The following is a 23,287-nucleotide window of genomic DNA, read 5'->3' on the forward strand; positions in this document are numbered from 1 at the left end:
CATTTTTAACTTTAGTATAAAAGGTAAAAGACAAAAATATTGAAAATAAATATAGCTACAATAACTTGGTAATGAATATGCAATTTATTGACTTGTGTTTATTTATTTATTTTTAGAGATAGCATCTCATTCTGTCACCTAGGCCAGACTGCAGTGGCATAATCATAGTTCACTGCAGCCTTGAACTCCTGGGCTGAAGTGATGCTGCCCTACTGAATAGCTAGGATTACAGGCACATACCACCACACCTAGCGTTTTTTTGTTTTTGTTTTTTTTGTAGATATGGGTCTTGCTGTGTTGCCCAGGCTAGTCTAAAACTCCAGGCCTCAAGTGATCCCTCTATGTTGGCCTCCCAAAGCACTAGTATTAAACACATATGCAATTTAAAAGATGTAAATTGTGACATAAAAAATAGGACATGTATCTAGGGAGATGAAAATGTAGAATTTTTGAATGCAAGTAAAGTTGTTATCAACTTGAAATAGATCGGTCTAATCCTATTTTTTATGTAAGCCTCAGATTAACAAAAAAAAGCAAGAATCTATAGTATATACACAAAAGATGAAAAGACTCAAAGCACACCACTACAAAAAATTATCTAATCAAAAGGAAAGACAACAACAACAATAAAAAAAAATAAAGAAAGGAACAAAGAAATAAAGGACTGATAAAACAACCAGGAAATCATAAGTAAAATGGAAACAGTAAGTTCTTACCCATCAATAATGACTTTAAATGTAAATAAATTACATTCTCCAATCAAAAGACAGAGTGGCTAAATGGTTCAGTAAACAAGATCAAATTATATGCCGTCTGTAAGAAACTCACATCTGCTTTAAGGACATACATAAGGTGAAGGTGAATAGATTGATAAAGATATTGTATGCAAATAAAATCCAAAAAGAAAGGGGTAGGGGTAACTATAAGTAAATGAGACAAAATAGACTTTAAGTCAAAAATTGTAAAACAAGACAAAGAAAGTCATTTTATAATGATAAAAGGGTCAAATCATCAAAAGGATGTAGCAATTTTAAACGTGTGTATGTGTGTGTAGCCATATACACACCCAGTATTAAAGTACCTACATATATAAAGCAAATATTAACACATCTTAAGGGAGACATGACAGCAATAGAATAATAGTAGGGGACTTTGACACCCCATTTTGAGCAATAAATAGATCACCCAGACAAAAAGTGAATACTGGATTTTAATTACATTTTAGACCAAGTAGACCTAACAAACATATACAGAACACTTCACCCAACAGTAGCAGAATACACATTCTTCCAAAGAACACATGGAACATTCTCCAAGATAGAACATTTATTAGGTCACAAAATAACTCTTAGAAAATTTAAGCAAACTGAAATTATATCAAGCATCTTCACTGACCACCGTGATATGAAACTAGGTATCAATAAGTGAATAAATAAGTAGAATAAGTGGTATAAATAAGTGGAAATTAAGGTGTAAATAAGTAAAAATTAAGTATAAATAGGTTTAAATAAATGGAAATTAAACAGCACACCCCTGAACAACCAATAGGGAAAAGAAGGTATCAAAAAGGAATTTAAAAAATATTTTGAGACAAATGAAAATGAAAATACAACATATAAAAACTCGTAAAATGTAGCCAAAGCAGTTCTAGGAGAAAAGCTTATGGAAGTAAATGCCTAAATGGAGAAAAAAAAAATCTTTAATAAGCAACCAGTTTTGCACTTCAAGGAGCTAGAAAAAGAAAACTAATGCCAAAGTTAGAAGGAAGGAAATAACAAATTTCAGAGCATAAATAAATGAAATAGAGACTACAAAAAATTAGAAAAATATCAACAAAACTAAGAGTTCATTTTCTGTAAAGAAAAGAACATCAACAAACTTTTAGCTAGAGTGATGAAGAAATATAAATGAATAAATGTTTTAAATGCTAATTACCCTGATGGATCACCACGCATTATATGTATTGAAACATCACTATGTACTGAAGAATATGTACAATTATTATTTATCAGTTAATACATAAAGAGCAAAAACTCAAATAAAATCAGAAATGAAAGAAGAGACATTACAATTGGTATACAGAAATACAAAGATTCACAAGGAACTATTTGAATAATATCAACAAATTGGTAACCTAGCATAAATGGATATGTTCCTGGAAACATACAATCCACAAACAATAAATAATGAAGAAATAGATAACCTGAACAGTCTAATAATGAGTAAGGAGATTGAATCAGTAATTAAAAATCTCTCATAAAAGAAAGGCCAAGACCTCATGGCCTCACTGGTGAATTCTACCAAACATTTAACAGAATTAACACTAGCTCTTCTCAAATTGTTACAAGAAATTGAAGGAAACACTCATGAGGCCAGTATTCCCTTTTACCAAACCAGAAAAGGACACTACAAAGAAAGAAAATTACAAGCCAATATCCCTGGTGAGCATAGATAAAAAATTCTCAAAAATTACCAGCAAAATGAATTCAATAGCTTATTAAAAGGATCATATACCATGATCAAGTGATATTTATCCCTGGAATGCAAGGATGGCTTAACATACATAAATCAATATATGTGATATACCACATCAACAGGATGAATTATAAAAATCATATCATTTCAATAGACAAAAAAAAAGCATTTGACAAAATTGAACATATTTTTATGATAAAAGCTATACCCAAAAATGAGATATAGAAGGAATATACTTCAACATTATAAAGGCTGTATTTGACCAGCCCATAGCTAACGTCATTTTCAGTGGTGAAAAGTTAAAAGCTTTTCCTCTAAAATCAGGAACAAGACAAGGATGTCCACTCTCGCCACTTCTATTCAACATAAAACTGGAAGTTCTTGCCTGAGAAATCAGGCAAGAAAAGAAATAAAAGGCATCCAAATCAAAAGAAAAAATTGTCTCTGTTTTTGATGATATAATCTTATATATAGAAAACCCTAAAGACTCCATGAAAAAAAGCTGTTACTAATAAATTCAGTGAAGTCGCAGGATAAAAAATCAGCACGAAAAAGTCAGCTTTGTTTCTGTATACTAAGAATGAACTCTTAAGAAAAGAAATTAAGAAAACAATCCTATTTACAACAGCATTAAAAGAATAAAAATACTTACGAATTAATTTAACTAGGGAGGTAAAAGATCTGTATAATGAAAATATAAGACATCGATGAAAGAAATGGAAAAAACGCAAGTATATAAAAAAATAGCCTGTGGTGATGGATTGAAAAAAAAATCATTATTGTCAAAACATACTTCTCAAAGAGATATACAGATTTAATGCATTTTTTTAAATCAAGGTTCCAATGGCATTTTCCACAGAAATAGAGAAAGGAATCTTAAAATTCATCTGGAATAACAAAGGATTCCCAATAGCTGAAGTAAACTTGGTTGAGAAGAACAAAGCTGGAGGCATCACATTCCTGATTTCAAATTATAATAAAAACCTATAGCAATCAAAGCACTATAATATGGGCATAACAACAAACATACAAAGAGAAGAGAACAGAGAGCCCAGGAATAAACCCATGTTTACCATCAACTCATCTTCAATGAAGATGCCAAGAATACACAATGGAGAAAGGATAGTGTCTTCAATTATGGTGCCAGGAAAACTTGATATCCACAAGCAAAAAAAAAAAAAAGGAAATTCTTTTTTTATATTACACCACAAGCAAAACTCAACTCAAAATGGATTAAAGACATAATACCTAAAGCCATAGAATTCCAGAAGAAAACATAGAAGAAAAGCTCCATGACACAGGTCTGGGCAACGATTTTCTGGAAATGACCCGAAAAGCACAGGCAAAAAAAAAACCAAAAATAAACAACTGGAAACACATCAAGCTGAAAAGTTTCTATACAACAAAGAAATCAATCAACAACATGAAAAGGAAATCTACGGAATGGGAAAAAATATCTGCAAACCACATATTTAATAATGGTTTAATATCCAAAATATACATGGAACCCATACAACTCAACAACAATAAAGCTAAATAACCTTATTTAAAAAATTATCAAAGAACCTGAACAGACATTTTCAGGTTATGAAATGGTTAATAGGCATATGAGACAGTGCTCAACATCATCAATCATCGGAAACACGCAAATCAAAACCACAATAAGATATCACCTCACACCCGTTAGGATGGCCATTAGCAAAAAGTTAAAAGATAAGTGCTGGTGAGAGTGTGGAAAAAAAAGAATCCTTATGCATTGTTGGTAGGAATGTAAAGTTGTACAGCCACTATGAAAACAATATGGAGGTTCCTCAAAAAAAATAAAAATAAGACTACCATATGATCCAGCAATCCCACTTCTGGGCACATCTCCTAAATAAATAAAATTGAGATCTCAGAGAAATATCTGTACTTCCATGTTGATCACAGCATTTTTTCCAATAGTCAAGATAAAATATAAGTGTTCATTTACAGATGAATGTATAAAGAAAATGTGGTCGGTGTGTATGTGTGTGTATGTAAACATTATTCAGCATTAAGAAATAAGAAAATCCTGCTATTTGTGATAATATGGATGAACCTGGAACACATTTTACTGAGTGAAATTAGCTGGACATAGAAAGAAAAATACTGCATGATTCCACTTATACATGCAATCTAAAAAAGATAACTAATAGGAACAGAGAGTAGAAGGATGGTAACCTGAGGTTGGGGGTGGTTGGGGAAACAGGGAGATGTTGGTCAAAGGGTACAAACTTTCAGTTAGAAGGCGAATAGGCTCGGGAGACCTAACGTACAGCATGGTGACTATAGTTAATATCGATTTAATATAATATTAATTAATAAAATTAATAATTTATTTTGTTACTATATAATATTACTATAACATGTTAATAATGTGTTATATACTGGAAATTTGCTAAGAAATTAGATCTGATGTATTCTCACCATATACAAAAAGGTAACTAGGTGAGTTGATAGATATGTTAGGTAGCTTAATTGTGGTCATCATTTCACAAATTATACGTAAAACAAAACATCACGTTGCACACATTAAATATGAACAATTATTATTTTCAATTATGCCTTTATAAAGCTAGGGGAAAATATTAAATAAATAAGTAACATTTGTGATAATTGCTGTGACAGAAATAATCACTGATGACATAAAGAGAAATAAGGGAAAAGAACATGAAAATATTTAGACAAGAATGTAGAGAAAGCCTCTCTGTAAATGTGGCATTTATGCTAAAAATATGAAGAATAAGAGCAAGCCAATGTTGGGAAAAAGGGCAGAAAGAGCGTTCCAGGCAGCAAGAAGTGCATGTAACAAAGTGCTGAGGTGGTGAAGGGCTTAGAACAGTCAAGGAAACAATGGAAGGCTGACGTGGCTGAGTGTGAACTACAGAGTATAATGTGCTCATGCTGGTGAGTTAGGAAAGATCAGGTCAGGGCAAGGATTCCAGGAAAAATTTGATTCTAAGTGCAAAAGAAGAGCCATAGAAGTTATTTAGGGGATCCCATGATCTTATTTATGTTATAGAAAGATTTCATTGGCTACTGTGTGTAGAATGGTATGCAGAAAGATCAATGGATTTAGAGAGAGCACTTTGACATGATGGTATCTTTAGATGATGGTGTTTGGTCTAGCTAGGCAGCAGAAAAGGTGGAGAAAAGTTAACAGGATTCACACACATTTTAAGGGTAGAACCAATAGAACTCATTAATGGAATAGATATCGGGGGGTGTAGGGATAGGAGGAATCAAAGAACACTCTTCGAATTATTGCCTGGAGTACTTGCATAAACACTGGATTAACTTATTAATATAAAGAAGACGGTGAGATAAAAGCTTTGAGGGTTGGGGATAAAGGGTTCTATTTTGATCATGTTAAGTTTAAAGTGCTTATGCGGCTTCCAGGTGGAGATAAGGAGGACCGATTGGGCTACTAAGATATGCTGCTGATATGAAGCCTGAAACTCTAAATTACATATTAGAATTAGAAAAAAGAAAGCCACTCTTCAAAGATTAGTCATACATCTCAATTTATAGTTATTCCCTAACTAGAAACTTCATGAAGCCAACTTTCAAAACTATTACAAAGCATTGAGAGTATTTTTTTCCTTCAAACTTATTTTTCTCATCTTAAAAAAAAAAAACATCTGTGAACTTTCTCATCTTTCTGAACATGGTATAATTTGGAAAAGTACGTTCACCTTCTCCAAACTTCTAATTAACTATTTATCTTTCAGATCAGACCAGTTATAACCAAAAATCCCCCATTTCATTCCTGTTATGTTGCATCTGAATAGAAGATAAATACAGTTCATATTCTTACTTGCACAGCAAGTGGTAAAAAATCCATTTAAAACATGCTATGAATTGAATTCATTTAATCTATTAAATATAGCAATTTAATGAAGCAAAATACACTAATTAAATTATTAAAATCTGGATAGCAAGTAGTAGTTAAAAAGCCTGTTGCTATGCAACTCAGAGAATTTCTATAAACAGTCTGCAAAAATGTATTGGTTAAATATGTTGGTATTTTGCCTTGACCTTTTATAATCAAACACCTTCTCAATCTGTGAAAATGTTTTTTCTGAGACTAACATCAAATAGAATTCATGGATTTTAAAAAAAGAAGAAATTTAGGGTTTGATTGTGTTACTTCTTCTATTATATTCAAAGGTATAAGAAGTTCAAAATTCCAAAAATAAAAATTATCAAATATACATACGGAAAAATAGCAGCAGTTCCTTAAAGGTTTCTGCATAATTGAGAAACTTCATTGTTTATAGAGATACAAATCTGCTATATTGCATTATTATTTCTTTCATGAGGTTGTAGCACTTTATGACAGAAGCAGGTTAGCATAGATGAGGTGAAGAATGGAGTTTTTTAAAGTCAAAACTTTTTTTTTTGACAGCAATTCCCCCCACCCCATACTGCCTGCTGAGACTGTCAGAGAATTAAAAGTTGGTCACAAGTTCTAAAAGTCTGCAGTGTATCCTTCCCAAAATATACTTGAAACTGCATACCCCAGAGGGTCGTTTATGTAATGAAAGAAATTACTCTGATATGTGGGCTTTTAAAAATCATTTTTAAAGGCAGTCACTGAGAGATTGATATGCAGGCACACTTTAATTTTAAATGTCGGAATTAGACTAAAAGAAAATGAACTTCATTAAAAAAATAAATTGAAAGTTAAAAAATCTTCTCTTGTGAAATCCAAAATATTTCCAAAATTTTGAAACTACTATTTAACTACAAGCAGTACTGTTGGGTACTGACTTAATATTAGCGGGAATTTACAAAGACCTCTTAATCACACATCCCCCGATCCTGATCACAGGGACTGAGCCAAACTTGGTGGAATAAGAAAGGTATTTAAGGACAACTTTAAATGGGGGCGAAGGGCGGTCATCTGATGCCATTATCTTTGCTGTAGTGGTCCGTTGACGAAAAATATTATTTGCATGTATTTGAGCCTCAAATTGTTTTTTAGCCATAAACATTTTGAGACTTTTCTGTCACCAGACTGCCTACTCTTATTACTCCTTGTTCAGAAGTCAGTTTCTTGTTTTTTGACACACGTTATTCCTTCTTTCCCTACCTGCCACTTTCATGTCCTAAAACCAGGTGTTCAAAAGCAAGCACTATGGCCATGTTCTCCAAACTCTGTGCCAAGATATTCTGTGGTGATGCAGTGAGCTCAAAGAAGTGCCCTGAAATATTTAATATTTTCAGGGGAAACAGCAACACTGCACATACAAGCTTGAGGTAATTTATAGTTTCAACATTAGATAGCGCTATATGCCTTTAGATAATGTCAATATTTGTTGTGAAGCTGTCTTTGTGATTTCTATGGATAAAAGAAACACCACATGAAAATCAATGTGGAGCAGGAAATAACAGTAGCAGTGGCAAATTTGAATTTGAGTTTTGTGCATTAGAAGATGTACAATATCCAACATCTTCATGCATTCCATTGTTAAGTGACCATGCTTATTTAAGAATAGAAATATTATTATGTCAATATATGGCAAAAATGATTTCCAAGTTGCTAGTAAATTCTTATTGAGTTTTTGAGACCTAACTACCAAATAAATGGAACTATCAGGCATTTATTTTGGCCTAACAGCACTGTGAAACAATCGCTGAGTCACTAAGGAATAGAATTTGAGATCCTCTGCCACAACAGTATGACAAAAATAATTATTAAAATTGTGAAGCTGTGCAGCTACTTCTTGAAATAGCTCTCTCTGTGTCTGTATGTATATATACATACATATAGCAGATATTGAGCAGAACTTTAAAATACATAAACTGCCTTTTATCTTTCTTATATAGTGTACATTAAATATAGAAGATAAAGTTGGGTTTATTTACTATTCTAATGGAATTTTCTTTAAAAACAGAGAACTGTGAAAACATTTTAATGTTTTCTTCACTGCAGATATCAGAAGTCTTCAAAATGTATAGCATGTACTCTAGAGTGTCTACCCAGGCTGACTCTATTCCATAGAAATAAAAAGTTTCCATATGACCCAGTGGGTTAACCTAGCTCTGAGTGACTCCACATGGATTGACATTTGAGCTGTCAGCTAATGATTTGCACAGGTGGAAGTAAGAGATTATAATGAGGTCTCATCCTCCACTGCAAATCTGACTAGGAGTTTTGACCCATTCTTGTTCATCATTCAGTCTTCTTATTTTATTCCTTACAAGAACATTCGCCAAACCTTCCAGAGGTTTGTCAATATCTATAAAGGAAATTTCATAGACTTCAATATGATATTCAAGATCCTCTTTGATCTGTAATCAACCTATTTTTTTCTACCTTACATCCTGCCACATCCTCCTATGATCCTATAATCCAACAAAATGAAACTGCCTCTTTTATGAACAGGTCTTGCACTTCTCTCCCTGTATACTATTTTTTTAAAATTCTCTCTTTCACTTGGATGTCCTCCTTCTGTCCAAGTCTTCCTGCTTCTTCACAGCTGTGCTCAAATCCTACCTCTTCCACAGAGCCTCCACACTTTCTCCCTGCCATACTCATTCTTTCACCTTGTACATGGTATAACATATACACAGTCTTGTGTTTTACTATGTTTGCTTCACATGTGACTTTCTCCGTTCTGTTACTTATATGCTTTACGCTTATGTTTTCAAACCTCTCCCAAACAAGTACAGCATGCATTCACGTCTTTCTCCACCCACAACTTTAAATCATTTGTGGTAAATGTCTGCATAAATAGATACTCAACCAATTATTATCAGACTATATTGGAACAGATTATGCTACAACCAAGATGGCAAATTATAAAGACTTAAGGTATTATACTTCCAAGGATGAGTCTCATTTATCAGGGGCCCTTATGGAGCTTATCTATCCCAACTCTTGCCACTACCAACTTTTTCTACTGTTTGAAATTTGGAGAACTCCCAAAAATGTCTTCATCCAACTTTTCTTTTTCCACCCTCTGGCCCTAAATTGAAAGAACTTGAACATATTCTTTTGTCAGAGGTTGCTCTTGGTTTATACCCACAATTTGTGCAAGTAGAATAATTGGTGTCTTAAAATACATATTCCTGGAGCTGACTTAAGACACACAGAATTCAAATTTTGTGAATATTAGCTATTATTTTTATTATTAAACCAGCATCTCTCAGTCCACAGAACACTAGTCTTCAGTGAGATATTCATATAGGTTTAGATAGGAATGATTCTACTCGTAAATAATTTGGGAAATAGTCACCATTACATATCTTTCTTAGAGATTCAAGATTTTAATAAACATGAAAAAAGTCTTTGAGAAGTCTTGCAATCTAATTTATTTAATTTGTTTAACTCAAACTTTCTTCAAACTGATTGGACCATCAAAATCCCTTTGTTTCCATATATATATGTATATATATATTATATATATATATATAATATATATGTTATATATATAATATATTATATATATATTATATATATTATATATAATATATATATAATATATTATATATATAACATATATATAATATATATGTTATATATATATATATTATATATATATATATATAACCATTAGCATTTCATGCTCTTTGAATTTGAATTGGGAAAGTATCTATCTGTGACTCTTCTTGATCATCAGTTTTGCCAATTTAAAATAGTGAGGGAAGGTCAGTTGAAAGTTATTCTCAGAAAAAACTTATATTGTAAAATGTCCTTTGTGTATGTATGTATTTCCCTCAAAATGGCTCAGAGTCACCTGCATTCAGTGCAGAGGGGCTGTGAGATTGAAAATATCTCTGGACCCACCCGAAGAGGGTGAAACTATTTTCCTGATCTTACATATCTCAGTCTTGGAACCCATGTCTGTCTGTTCTGCAACAGGTTCCATTAGCCAAGGTTGGCTGGTAAGAGCCTAGATTATGCTTTCTGCTTAGGTTGGTCTAGACCATTGGCTTGAACTGTAGGATGACTTTGGTCCCTAAGACAAGGGCTGCTGCCCCCAGAATATTGTCTTTCTAAGTCTGGGTAGGCTGCTATTTGAAGGCCAACACTAAAATGTATTCAAATGACTCATCTGTGTCCTCTTTAAAGTGTGAATTAGTGCAGGCACTCATTACTCACCTCCCTCCCTTTAGAACAAGTTGCTTCTGACAACAGTGAGCGAAACAGCTGTGTGTGTGTGTATGTGTGTGTGTGTGTGTGTGTGTGTGTTTCTATAAAAGAAGGATTCTTCTACTATACTAGAATGTCCCCAGGCCGTGAAGGAGATTGAGCTGTGTAAACCAACCGTGCCTTATGCTCTAGGGGAAGAAAAGAAATGGAGAAGAGAACACCTCAACCGAATTTATTATAACAAATTTCTCGGGATAATAAAAGACATCATCTCAGCCCTAGAGGGAAAGTAGGTTATAGCTCAGCTAAATGTCCTTGTCTAATGTTGCTTAACCCCAGCTAACATTTCAAGCCTTAAGTAAAGTCCCGTCAGTGGCACATTTTGGCCTGTTTAGTAATTTCATTGGGGACATTCATTTGAATGAATTTTTTGAATCTGATGAAGACTCACATCAGTCATTTTCAGATTAAAGCCCCTAGTGTGCTGATTTCTGTCTTCTCCTGTCTGTTTGATTCTTTAACTAAGAGAGCAGAAGAAATAATATATTGTATAATTGCTCTTTATTACAAATTTGTAATTACATGTTACACTTGGCAACAACTGAGAAGAGAAGAGATGTAGTCTAGAATATCAGAGGCCCGGGGCAAAGGTCAACAGGAACTGTTTTGGTAATGGGCAAGGTGGTTTTCTCAGAGATGGTCTTGGCAATTAGATGGCAATGGAAATTCTAGATCAATTGAGAGACAACCTCTAGAGCAGCATGCAGTCCAACAACTTGTATCATCGTCCTCAGTCACTGGCATGCCATATTCTGCTCCTGTGACCTCCATGAGAGCACATGCTGGCAATTTACTTGGATCTCAGCTTCATCTTTCTTCTTTTGTGCTTTAATCTACACATGTACCTCTTTCTCCACTTGGCTCTCATGGAGCAGAAGTTTCTGAGAAAATGGTGCTAAGGCCAAAAGAGCCTAATTTCTTTAGGGCATGTTCTCTTTCTTGGTGTAAGGGGGCTATGACGTATTCTTTTTAAGTTCCTAATTCTATATTTCACTAACTATGTGGGGAAAGTCAATATTTTATTGCCATCATAAACAAAGAGAGGCCATTTGCCTCTTGATGTGTCGTGCTCTGTGTCTCTACTCATGCAGTTCCTTTTGCCTGGAAAGTTACTTCCTTCACAAATGCCAGGACAGCATTTTCAGCATCTCTGCATCTGTAGAGCTTCTTACCAAATCCAAGAAAAGTAGAGCACCCCTGCTTTCGCCACTACTGTATCTAGTACATGCTCTTTTACCTCACTTGTCAAGCTACAATTCAATCCCTTGTCTATATTTTTATCTCCTCTCCTAAACTACTATTTTACATACTTTATATTTTTATTTGTACCTATAACAATGCCAGGCTTAAAATAAGGATTCAGAAATATTTGTTAAATTTAATTGAACAAATATTCAAACAGTTGATTCCCTATGTTTTTGAATATTCTTTCTCTACCAGTTCATTCAGTATGGTTGTGTCTTAAAATGCCAATCTGTAAGAATTTAACATTTTTAGGAAGCTTCATATATTCAGGATGTTACATCTCACTATCTGGTATTGATAGAGCTGCAAAAGTAAAAGAAAACATTGTGTAATTTTTAAAGAAATGGATAATCACAATTTTTTCCGTTGAAATTTTAAAATACACATATTTCTGAATAATATAAATAAAAAAGTCTGTTAACACAGACTCATCAGAAATATGCTATTGCTTAATTTTTATATATGATTATACAGAAGGATCTCTTACCCAAATATTAAACAATTTTGTTGCTTTATTTATTATACACATCTATCTGTGACCCTCTCAAAATAAAACTATACCTATAATAAACTATGGAAAATGATGGGTAGTAATGAAAGTTTCCCATCTGGAAAAGCCCCTGGTCCAGATGGATTTGCTAATTACTTTTATAAGATGTTTAACCAACCTTTGAAGAATATTCCAGGCATGTTTGATTACTTTACATTACCAACATTTTTGGAAGTACCATTGTGGGCTCTCAAACTAAACTTTATAAATGATATGGAAATGGTAAAATCCAGAAAATTGTGTTTCTTAAGAACATACATCTTTCACAAGAAATGCTAATAACACATTCCTTCCAAACCTGAGCCCAGTGATAAAATATTTTTTCATTGAAAGGATAATTTTAGGACAACCAGGTGGAAGAAATATGTTACCTCATATTCATAAAACTAATTACATTAACTTTCACTAAAGTGTTAATAAATAAGAGTTCTTAACATGTGCTGCAATATATGCTATTAAAGGTGGTTGTATGCTTTCCACGATTTGACATAGAATTAGACATTTTATTCAAATAAAAAATAATAAACAAGTAGTAACCAATATACTATGATCTGAGGGCAACAAATAAGAGATCATGTCATAAATTATTTGTTTAACCGGTTATCTCTCATGCCAGAAATCTTGCAATTAGGTATTTATTCCTTTTAATAGACTGGCATTTTCAGAATCTTTTATTATTATTATGGCTGTCAAATTGAATGGTGTACTAATTATAGGCGTGTAGCTGACTGTATTCTTATATACAGTGGGAAATTCACTACACAGCCTTATAAAATTTTAAGATTTTTATAACAAATAAAATGGTCCTAAAATAATATATGAGAAGATACATTTGTAAGCCACTTAGAGAAGTTTACTTTATTAAAATTAAGTGCCCAATAGGATACTGTACTAAATTGAGGATATGTATATTTTAACGTCAGATGAGGGATTTGGGAAAAGTTAAGAGCCTGGCTGTAGAATAAGTAGGACCTCACTCTGAGTAGAGAGGTGATACTTGTACAGACAGAGGGCAACATTACAGTATGTGGTTGGCCTGCCTATACAACATCTATGAAAAGTCCCAGACATTTTAGTGTCAGTCAGACCTGCGGAATTCTCTGAGTTTTCATTTTCTCATCTAGAACATGCAGTTAATAACGTTTACTTTCAAGTGTTATTGTGAGGATTAAATATCTGCCTGGGATATAGTAGGTATATCTAATATTGTGTTTTTTCCTCTCTCTCACTATTCATCTACACATACACAAACACACACAGCATTTTGATTAGAGCAGAGAATTTGTATAATAATCTGCCAGGTCAGATATGCTTTACTACATCTCTTTTCTCTGCTCATTGTTTTTGTGTCACAAAATAAACCTCAGTTTTACTTGAACAATAACCTGTCCGGAAAACTATATATTAATTTATTTATAGAGTCAAGGGGATATATCATATCAATAGTTACCTAAGAAAGTAATGTTTAATAAAAAAGCTTACCTCTGTCCATATTTTTGTGCCATGCTCAAAATGTCAACTGTTTCATTTTCAAATAATAGGCAGGTGTTAAGATAATTTTGTATGTATATATGTATGTGTATATGATTATATACATCCAGATATACATATATGCATATATCTATATAAGAATATGTGAATGAAGAATGTGTACATATATATACACAGATGTTATATATATAATCATATACACATGCATATATACAGATATATATATACCTAAATTTATATATATATATATATCTAAATATATCACTGCTGCTGGCAATAGATAGATATAACACTTTAAAGAATGCATTCGGTGCTACTGGTATGATGCTAGAAGATAAAGCCATATGCAAATCCTTCTTTTCCCTTTCTTAATGATATATAGAACAATTTAAAAAGCATAAGATACTCATAAACTTCATTCACATATTCTTTTTTAAATTTCGTTTTTGTAAAAGTCAGTATTTCTATTGCAGACAATATTACAAAGCATGGGATTTCACTAAAAGGTAACTGTAAAGACCATTAAATTTATTTTCCTGTTTTCAAGAAGAGAATGTTTAAAAACTTAATTATTAATATTTTATATAAAAATAAAAATTCCCCTCATCTCTCCATTTGCCTTCTATCTAACCCTGGAGTAACTACAAATAAGAGCATGCAATATTACTCTCCTCAAACTTTTCTATATAGTTTAATATGTGTTAATGTCCAACTTTTTTATTTTAAAACTATGGTCATACTTATACATTCAGTATAAGAGATAAAATTCACTCACGCCACTCTACTTTTTAAAATGTATAGAATATATACATTTGCCTCATTTAAAAAACATTTATATATTTTTCAGGTTGTGGAAGCTCAAAAATTTAATTGACTGTTTCTATATTGATAGGTTATTGGGTTGTTTCCAATGTACCGCAATTACAAACAATGCTTTAGCATAGCAAAAACTGTTTTACAAAGTGTGGTACTATAAGGGGCTGCATGAGTAGGAGCAGTATGCCCTTGCCTGGGGTCTGAGAAAATCTGCACATGACAAATACTCTCATGGCCCTTATGAGTGTCAATTATTTCTACATGAATAAGGCTGAGACTTAAGTGGAGAATCCATATTGTGAAGGCATGTACTAAGACGGAGTGACTTGTAGAGTATAATTCTGGAACCCAACAAGCTACATTCTGACACTGAATTAATTGTACATATGAAAGAAATAAGGAATAGGGAAATATAACATATAACTGAATAACTAAAAATGATAATTCAGAAAATCCAAAATAATCTACAAAAAAACTCTTCCTGAAACCAGTAAGTGATTATTGAAAGGTTGCAGAATATAAGACTAATTTATAAAAATTAGTTACTTTTATATACCAACAATGAAAAAGTGGAATTTGAGATTGAAAACACATTACCATTTATTTTAGCACACACAAAAATGGAATAGTTAAGCATAAATCTAACAAAATATGTATAAGATCCATATCAGGAAAACTATAAAACTTTGATAAAAAATATCAAAGAAGAACTAAACAAATGGAAAGATATTTCATGTTAATGAATAAGAAGACTCATTAATGTCAGGATTTCAGTTCTTCCTAACTTGATTTATAGACTTAATACAATCCTAATAAAAATCTCAATAACTCATTTTGTGAATATTGACAAACTGATTGTAAAGTTTATATGAAGTGGCAAAAGACCCAGAATAGTCAACACAATATTGAAGGAAAAGGTGGAGGGCTGACATATCCGACTTCGAGACTTCCTATAAAGCTAGTTATCAAGACAGTGTAGCTATTGGCAAAATGACAGACAAATAGATCAATGGAACAGAAAAGAGAGCCAAGAAGTAGATCCACATACACATAATCAAGTAATTTTTGACAAAAAATCAAAGGCAATACAATAGAGAAAAAATAGTCTTAGTGCTGGAACAACTGAATACGCACATTAAAAAAAGAATTTATATACAGATCCTACACTGCTCCCATAAATGGACTCAAAAGCAAACATAGACCTAAAATTAAAATGCAGAACTGTATAATGAGTAGAAAATAACATAGGAGAAAATCTGAATGACCTTAGGTATGGTGATGGCTTTTTATATACATTAAGGTATGATCAGTGAAATAAATAATTGATAGTCTGGGCCTCACTGAAATTAAATACTTCTGCTCTGCAAAACCCAAAAGAATGAGAAGACAAGCCACAAACTGGGAGAAAACATTTGCAAAAGACATCTAATAAAAGACTGTTATTCAAAATATGCAAACAACTTTTAAAATTCAACATAAGAAACCAAAAACCTGATTGAAAAAATGGACAAAATACTTTAACACAGCCTTGATAAAGAAGACATGAAGATAGCTAATAGATATATGAAAAATCTTTTAACATCATAGGTCCTTAGGAAATTGCAAATTAAAACAACAATGAAATATTACTACACACCTATATTAGAGTGTCCACAATGCAAAATATTAACAACACAAAATTCTGGTAAGGATGTGGAACAGCAGGAATTCTCATTTATTGTGGTGGGAATGCAAAATGGTACAGCCACTTAGAAAAACAGTGTGGCAGTTTCTTACAGAACTAAACATATTCTTACCATATAATCTCACAATCACACTCCTTTGTATTTACTCAAGTAAGTTGAAAACTTATGTCCACACAAAAATGAGCACATGAATATTCGTAACAGCTTTGCTCATAATGGCAAAAAAAAAACTTGAAAGCAATCAAGATACCCTACGGTAGATGAATGGATAAACTGTAGTATATCCAGATGATGAAATATTATTCAGCACTAAAATATTATTCAACATGAGTTATCAAGCCATGAAAAAACATGGAGAAACCATAAATGCATATTACTAAGTGAAAGAAGCCAATCTGAAAAGCTACATCCTGAATTATTCCACCTATATAAATTTCTAGAAGAGACAAAGTATGAAAATAGTAAAAGTATCAATAGTTACCCAGAGTAAGGAAGGAAGAATGAATAGGTGAAGTATAGAGGACTTTTAGGTAAGTGAAACTACCCTATATGAGACTGTAATGGTGGACACATGCCATTATACATTTTTTCAAAACCCATAGAATGCAGACATCCAAAGTTGGGTAATAATGTTTCAATGTAGGCTCATTGATGCTACCAAATGTACCATTCTGTTGGGGGATGTTGATAATGGGGCAGGATATGTAGGTGTGCATGCAGAGGTTTGGGGGGCAATCTGTATTTCTTCATCTGAAGTTTGCTATGAACCTTAAAATCTGCTCTAAGAAATACCTTCTAATAGCAGATGACTGAAATGAAATAAACAGTGAAATTCAGAAATTATTCTATTGGATGCTAAATCTTGAATATTAGGAAAAATTCAGATGGTTTTAGTTTTTCTGCTCTTGTTTATGTGAGTATTTAAATTTGTATAAATTCAGTTCCTAGGTTTGATTCTGACTGCATAAATGACCCCACAGTTTGCTTTCCTGAATAGATGGTATTGATTATTTTGTAACTATTTCTTTAAGCCCACTGATTTTAGCATTTTGACTGAACTAACTTACTACTTAGCAGTTCAAAGAGAGAATGAAAGTGGACAATTGTTGTTTACTTTCCTTTAGAAATAGCTGGAGGCTAAATGTTAAAGGTGAGTTTTGCAGCTCTGATACAGTCAATAATTGTGGTTAAAGCCCTAATAAACTGTTCAAGATTAAGTGGCATACAAATTCAAGCAAGGTGGCTCCAAAATTTCTGTTAGGAGCACATTATAAGTTGTCATTTTTATAGAGTTAGTTATGTGAACCTTTCAATATGTTAGATTACACTATTCTATTCCAAATCTAGGTATGAAGAAACATTCTTCCACAGGGGACAATATCCACTCTCATCTGACTCTTATCTTGAGGTCAGAATTAATGGAGTGAAGGTATCTCAATCTTCCCCTAAACTTGGTGTGATAACCAAAAAAACTCATGTCATGGAAGAATACATAGGAAAGCTGTTCCTTCTTTGCTTCATTTCCTTTTTATAATTGGACCTCTGGGCAGTGAAATAAGACAGGATGGCTTGATCTATGCTTTCTATGTGAAGATGAGGTACAAAACTTCACTTTCTGTTAAGGTTATGCTAATTTTACTTCCAAGACCCTGATAATTTAGTTGTACAATTCATCTTCTATAGAGAGCAATGTGGTAGATAACCCACATTCAGAATTAATTACCATAAATCAGAAGTATATTCATTGTATTACTGTGAGATCTTTCATTTCCCAGGAGGAAATGTCCCATCTACAAATGAACCCTTTACAGGTTCAATTATATCTTCTCATTTCTTTTCTCTTTCAGGCACAGCATAATGTCTATAATTTTAGCTTTATATTTTCTTTTTTACAGAAAGTATCCAACTGCTAGGAAGTAAGCCCAATTATCACTAGTGATAGAACAAATAGAAAAATGACAGTGTTCCTCAAAGCTATCTGCTTAGTATAAGTCTGCAGCTGCCTTTTCCTCATGACCATTTGGTTCAATTAAGTGAACTGCATTTGAGATTTATTATTGAACAAAAAAAAGTTGACTGGGGCTGGAAAAAAAATAAAAAATTGTTTCTCTTTACCATGAAATGAGTCTTGCTGCTGCCTACATATATCTCTCTAATTGGACTGCATTAATCATAGTGAATGTGCTAGATGTATATTGACCCTGTGTGATAAATAGCCCAAACTGAATAATTCTGAGTACCTCATGTTTCCTTGTTCAATATACTTACGCAGAGGAAAACTAATAATCAAGAAATAATTATAATTTCGTTCACTATATTCAATCTTTCTTAGGTTTTGTGACTTTTCATAAACAACCAGGTTTTGCATCTGGAAAAATAACTCAACCACGTTATAATCTTCCTGGCATGTCCTAGTAGATTCCTTGGTATTTTAAAGTCAATACAATATCTCTAACACTAAGTAAACATTATTGGTGTTCTTAGCTATCCAAGTAATGTTCAGGATTAGTCAGAGGAACTACATACTTAATTTAATTAAACGTAAAATAATTCCTTTTCTTGGGGTTCTATCCTAACTTTCAGGTTTTAATTCCTCTTGTTCCCTACAGCTGGGGTTACACTTGACCTGTAGGTTCAGCTTAGCCATAGCACCACAGTCAAGGTAATAAAGTTTGTTGGTTTTTATTATCCCATCATCTGGATTTAAAGGCAACTTTAAAACCTTTTGATCCTAAAGTGATTCTGGAGTCATGAATAGACTCCTGCCATGGTTGTAAGTTTTATTCTTCCTCTTGCTCTCCCTGAATGCCTTGGTTGTTTTATAGTCAGATGTCTCCAGAACTGATCAGCTTACGAGCACAAGCAAAACAATATTAACTACTGAAATTCGCTACCCCTCACTCCCACTGGCAAGGAAATGTCTCAGGTCCATTCCATGAACATCTTGGTCAATCATTTCTCCACCAGTCCCTCAGAGAAGTTTTTGAAGATTAATGTCTTGTGTGACACTATTAATGTGATACTGTTAATCATTCCTCACGAAGATATTTTCTAGAATTTTAACTTAGAGGAAATACTGAAAATGAAGACAGCCTTTTAGAGAAAAGTGTCCTGGTGCAATGGAAAAGAACATAGATTCTTATGTTAGGATCTTGGCTCCGTTATTAACTAGTCATGTGACCACTTAACCTTAACCTTTCCCAGCTTTTATTTCATTTTCTACCAAATGTGGACAATAATGCTTTTATCAAAGGACTTTTGGAAAATATGATGAACAGTATCTGGCACAGAATAGATGCTCATTAAGTGTTAGCTATTTGCCTATTCTTTTTTGCAAATGTTAGACAATGTCAAGCTAACATAGAACAATATCTACCAAATATGATTGCTATTATCCTTGGGGAGATGACAGAATAAATTTTCATGAATAGGCCTAAAAATAACATTCCATTTCATTTCCCACCACCTAGTATGTAATATAAAACCTCACATATTTGGCATGAATAGTTTTGAATTCATTTCTTGAATAACATTGTGTATTCTTTTACAATGGAAAATATTCAACTTTTTAATTTTTTTCTCTCTTCCTCTATATGTTCTGAAAATAGTACTTGTCTTGTCACTTTTTCTGCATTCTTAAAATAAGACATATTCACTTTTCCTCAAAGTTAAATATTACCATACCTGCCTCACACATTGCTCCATCACATTTTCCTCTATTTCCTATAATGCTAATTGCTCTTCCTCTGACTTCTCTTCAGTCTATAAAGAATGATAAAGACTCATCTATTCTAAAATTTTTTTTCTCAAACTATCACTCAATATTTCTTCTTTTCTTCATTGGTAACTAATTGGAGGAATAATCACTTGATGGCTTCATTTCTTGCTCTCTCCAGACATTCCTTGAGTCTAAACCCTTGGTAAGGCATTAGCAATTGTGCAAGTGCTAAATCTAGTGGTCACTTTTATTCAGATCCCACCTCATCTCTTTCTAAAGCACTTGATTCTGTTGACCATTTTTTTAATTCTTTCTATTCTTGTTTCCAGGGCCAGCACAGCTTGCTATTGCTCCTTTGGTCATTTCATGTCTTGACCCCAGGCTTCCCCTCTTACGGAGTACTACTAAATGTGTTTCTTATGGCACTAACTTTGATCCTCATTTGTTTCTTCATCTTAGTAAATGAGATGCATAATCTCATCTGCTTTCATGGCCTCAACTACTCTTTGTATGTAGATAGCTCTGAAAGCTCTATATCTATCTATATCTGTATCTATATCTATATCTATATATCTGTAAATTAGTGTATCTTCTCAGTCCACAAGTACATTTTAAATTTCCTGGTCTGCCAGAGGCATTTCAGACTCAACATGCTCAAAACTGAAATCCTTGTATAGCCTCATTTCCATTGCCATCCCCCACCCGATACTTCCCATCCTATGAATTCTATCCTAAAAAATGTTGTTAGTATACATAAATTTTCTGTGGTAAATTCTTTTGTGACAACCCGGATATTCTATCCTCTTCTTTCTCCCACTTCACATTTCATTGGTCATAATAGCCAATTAATTCTACTTCAAATATGTGTAGTGAATTCTGTTTCCTTACCATCTCCATTGCTACTGACTTACATCATGATTGCAACTATTATAATAGGCTCCAAAAGGGATTTTTAAAAATTTTACTTGCTTTTGTTATCAGATGAGTCCCAGCAGGGCTATAAATTATACTGTCAACAATACAGCAAAGACTAAACCTCCTAGCATCATCTTCATGGCCCTGCCTTCATAGTTTTGCTACTACTAGCATTTCCATTTCATTTTTGTTTCTTCTCACTCTACAACCCTAATCTCCAATCATTTTGTAATTATCGCAGAACTCATAATGTCCATTCACAACTCTGAGTTTTGAACACATTACTTCCTTTGATGAGCATACGTTTTTCTAATTACTTTTTCCCTTAAAAAATTCTTACCCATTTCTTGATATCACTCAAATAAAACATGCTCTATAGAACCTTTCCTGATGCCCCCAAACCTAGTTAGTTCTTCCCTTTTTTGCAATCCATTGGCTCCTTGTCTTTCATTTGAATCCTAATTTCACTGTAGTTGTCATTTTGCACATCTGTATCCCTTACTGAAACTATAATATAGGCCAGTGTCTCATTTTTCTTTGATCTTTCTGTTGATAGCATAGTGCCTGAAAAAATGATGCTCAAAAAATGAATGAGTAAACAGAACAGCTCAAGGCAGTCTTGAAACTACTGAATATATATATATATATATATATATATATATATATATATATATATATATATATATATATATATTTGTCTTTGGCTGGGCATAGTGGCTCATGTCTGTAATGCCAGCATTTGGAAGGCTGAGGCGGGCAGATCACTTGAGGTCAGGAGTTCAAGACAAGCCTGGCCAACATGGCAAAACACTGTCTCTGCTAAAAATACAAAAATCAGCTGGGCGTAGTTGTGTGGACCTGAAGTCCCAGCTACTTAGGAGGCTGAGGCAGGAGAATCGCTTGAACCTTGGAGCAGAAGGTTGCATTGAGCGGAGATCACATCACTGCACTCCAACCTGGGCAACAGAACAAGACTCTGTCATCCCACCCCAAAACAAAAGGTATTTAGTATAGGAATGTTGGCATAAATGTTTATGTGCTAGCCCCATTTAAAAATGACCCAGTTGCCATGTGTCTAACTACTATTTCATCGTCACCTTTTTCTCCACAATAATTGCTGTAATATTTATTAATATAATCAGTACTATAAAATTTTAGTGCTAAATTATATGTCTCAAGTTTGCAGATTACCAGATTGTAGCTACTTGATAATTTTTCTATCCAGCCAGACTTCACAAGGACCAGTTATTGTGGCCACAGAGTAGGAAATTACTCAGTACGTTATCATTTACGGCAGAATTATGTTTATAAATCATGGCCTTGAGAGTTTTCTCATTAAATCTGTGAGTCTAAATGCTTGTGGATAGATATGATGGCTAAGCATAAATCATACTAATGAAATGGTTAACTAAAGGTCCTACTGTGAAACAGATTTATATTTAAAAAGATTATTATTTGCAGCACTTTTGAAACATATCAGTTGAATAGGAGCACAGAAGATATTTCTGAGAAACACATTTGTATAAGTCTGTTACTCATATTAAGATGTGGCTAAAGTAAGTATGTCATAATCAGCCAGGAAACTATAGGAAACAACCTTGACACTTCTATTAAGAAGGTGCAAACATACCAGTAAAAATGAGTTCATTTATTAGTTCTCAGATGCCTTTGAAAGCATGACTTTTTTTTTTTCAATTTTAATTTTCCCCATCTGCTTTCCAAACACTGAAGCAAAATGTTTGGAAGCAAAGTGAGGCTGCCTAGTAGAGACTTATCATGGTTAAATGCAGCACAAGATTTCCTATTAATATTTTAATTTATCTACCACTCTTGGCTTCATATGAGCAAACATGAGAAACAAAGACCACTGTCAGACCAATTTGTTTCTTTCCTTCTATTTATTCTGTCCTATAAAAGGAATGTTTTATAAAGATTTTTTCTTCATTATATCTTAAGAGATTATTCATCTACTCTAAAATTTTGTTGTCGGAGGTGATTTGTAAACACACTTGAACATATTTATTCAGTATATTATGCTATTTTATCCATATTATGCTATGCTATGTATGTAAAATATAAAATCACTCTACCCTCCTCTACTCTGGACCTTTTGCAGTCAAAAATGTCTATTTTCATACTTTGTTAAACATTTTAATATAGACTTATCCTTTACAACTACCATAATAAATACTTAAAAAACACGTAAAGAT

The 23,287-nt window shown here is 33.0% G+C and overlaps 1 protein-coding gene across 38 annotated transcripts in view, besides 1 other annotated feature; it reads right to left on the minus strand.

The window, feature by feature from the left end:
- PTPRD (protein tyrosine phosphatase receptor type D) overlaps positions 1-23,287 on the minus strand; it is a 2,298,757-nt gene that overhangs the window by 950,919 nt on the left and 1,324,551 nt on the right. The window lies entirely within an intron of this gene.
- Positions 10,525-10,819: a silencer, noted in NCBI's record as "tiled region #1388; HepG2 Repressive non-DNase unmatched - State 24:Quies". NCBI's record gives its function as "represses a minimal TATA promoter and a strong SV40 promoter by Sharpr-MPRA in HepG2 cells {active_cell/tissue: HepG2}" and the evidence as "EXISTENCE:reporter gene assay evidence [ECO:0000049][PMID:27701403]".

This window comes from Homo sapiens, chromosome 9 (genome assembly GCF_000001405.40).
Source record: "Homo sapiens chromosome 9, GRCh38.p14 Primary Assembly".
In the NCBI taxonomy this organism is placed as follows: Eukaryota; Metazoa; Chordata; class Mammalia; order Primates; family Hominidae; genus Homo; species Homo sapiens.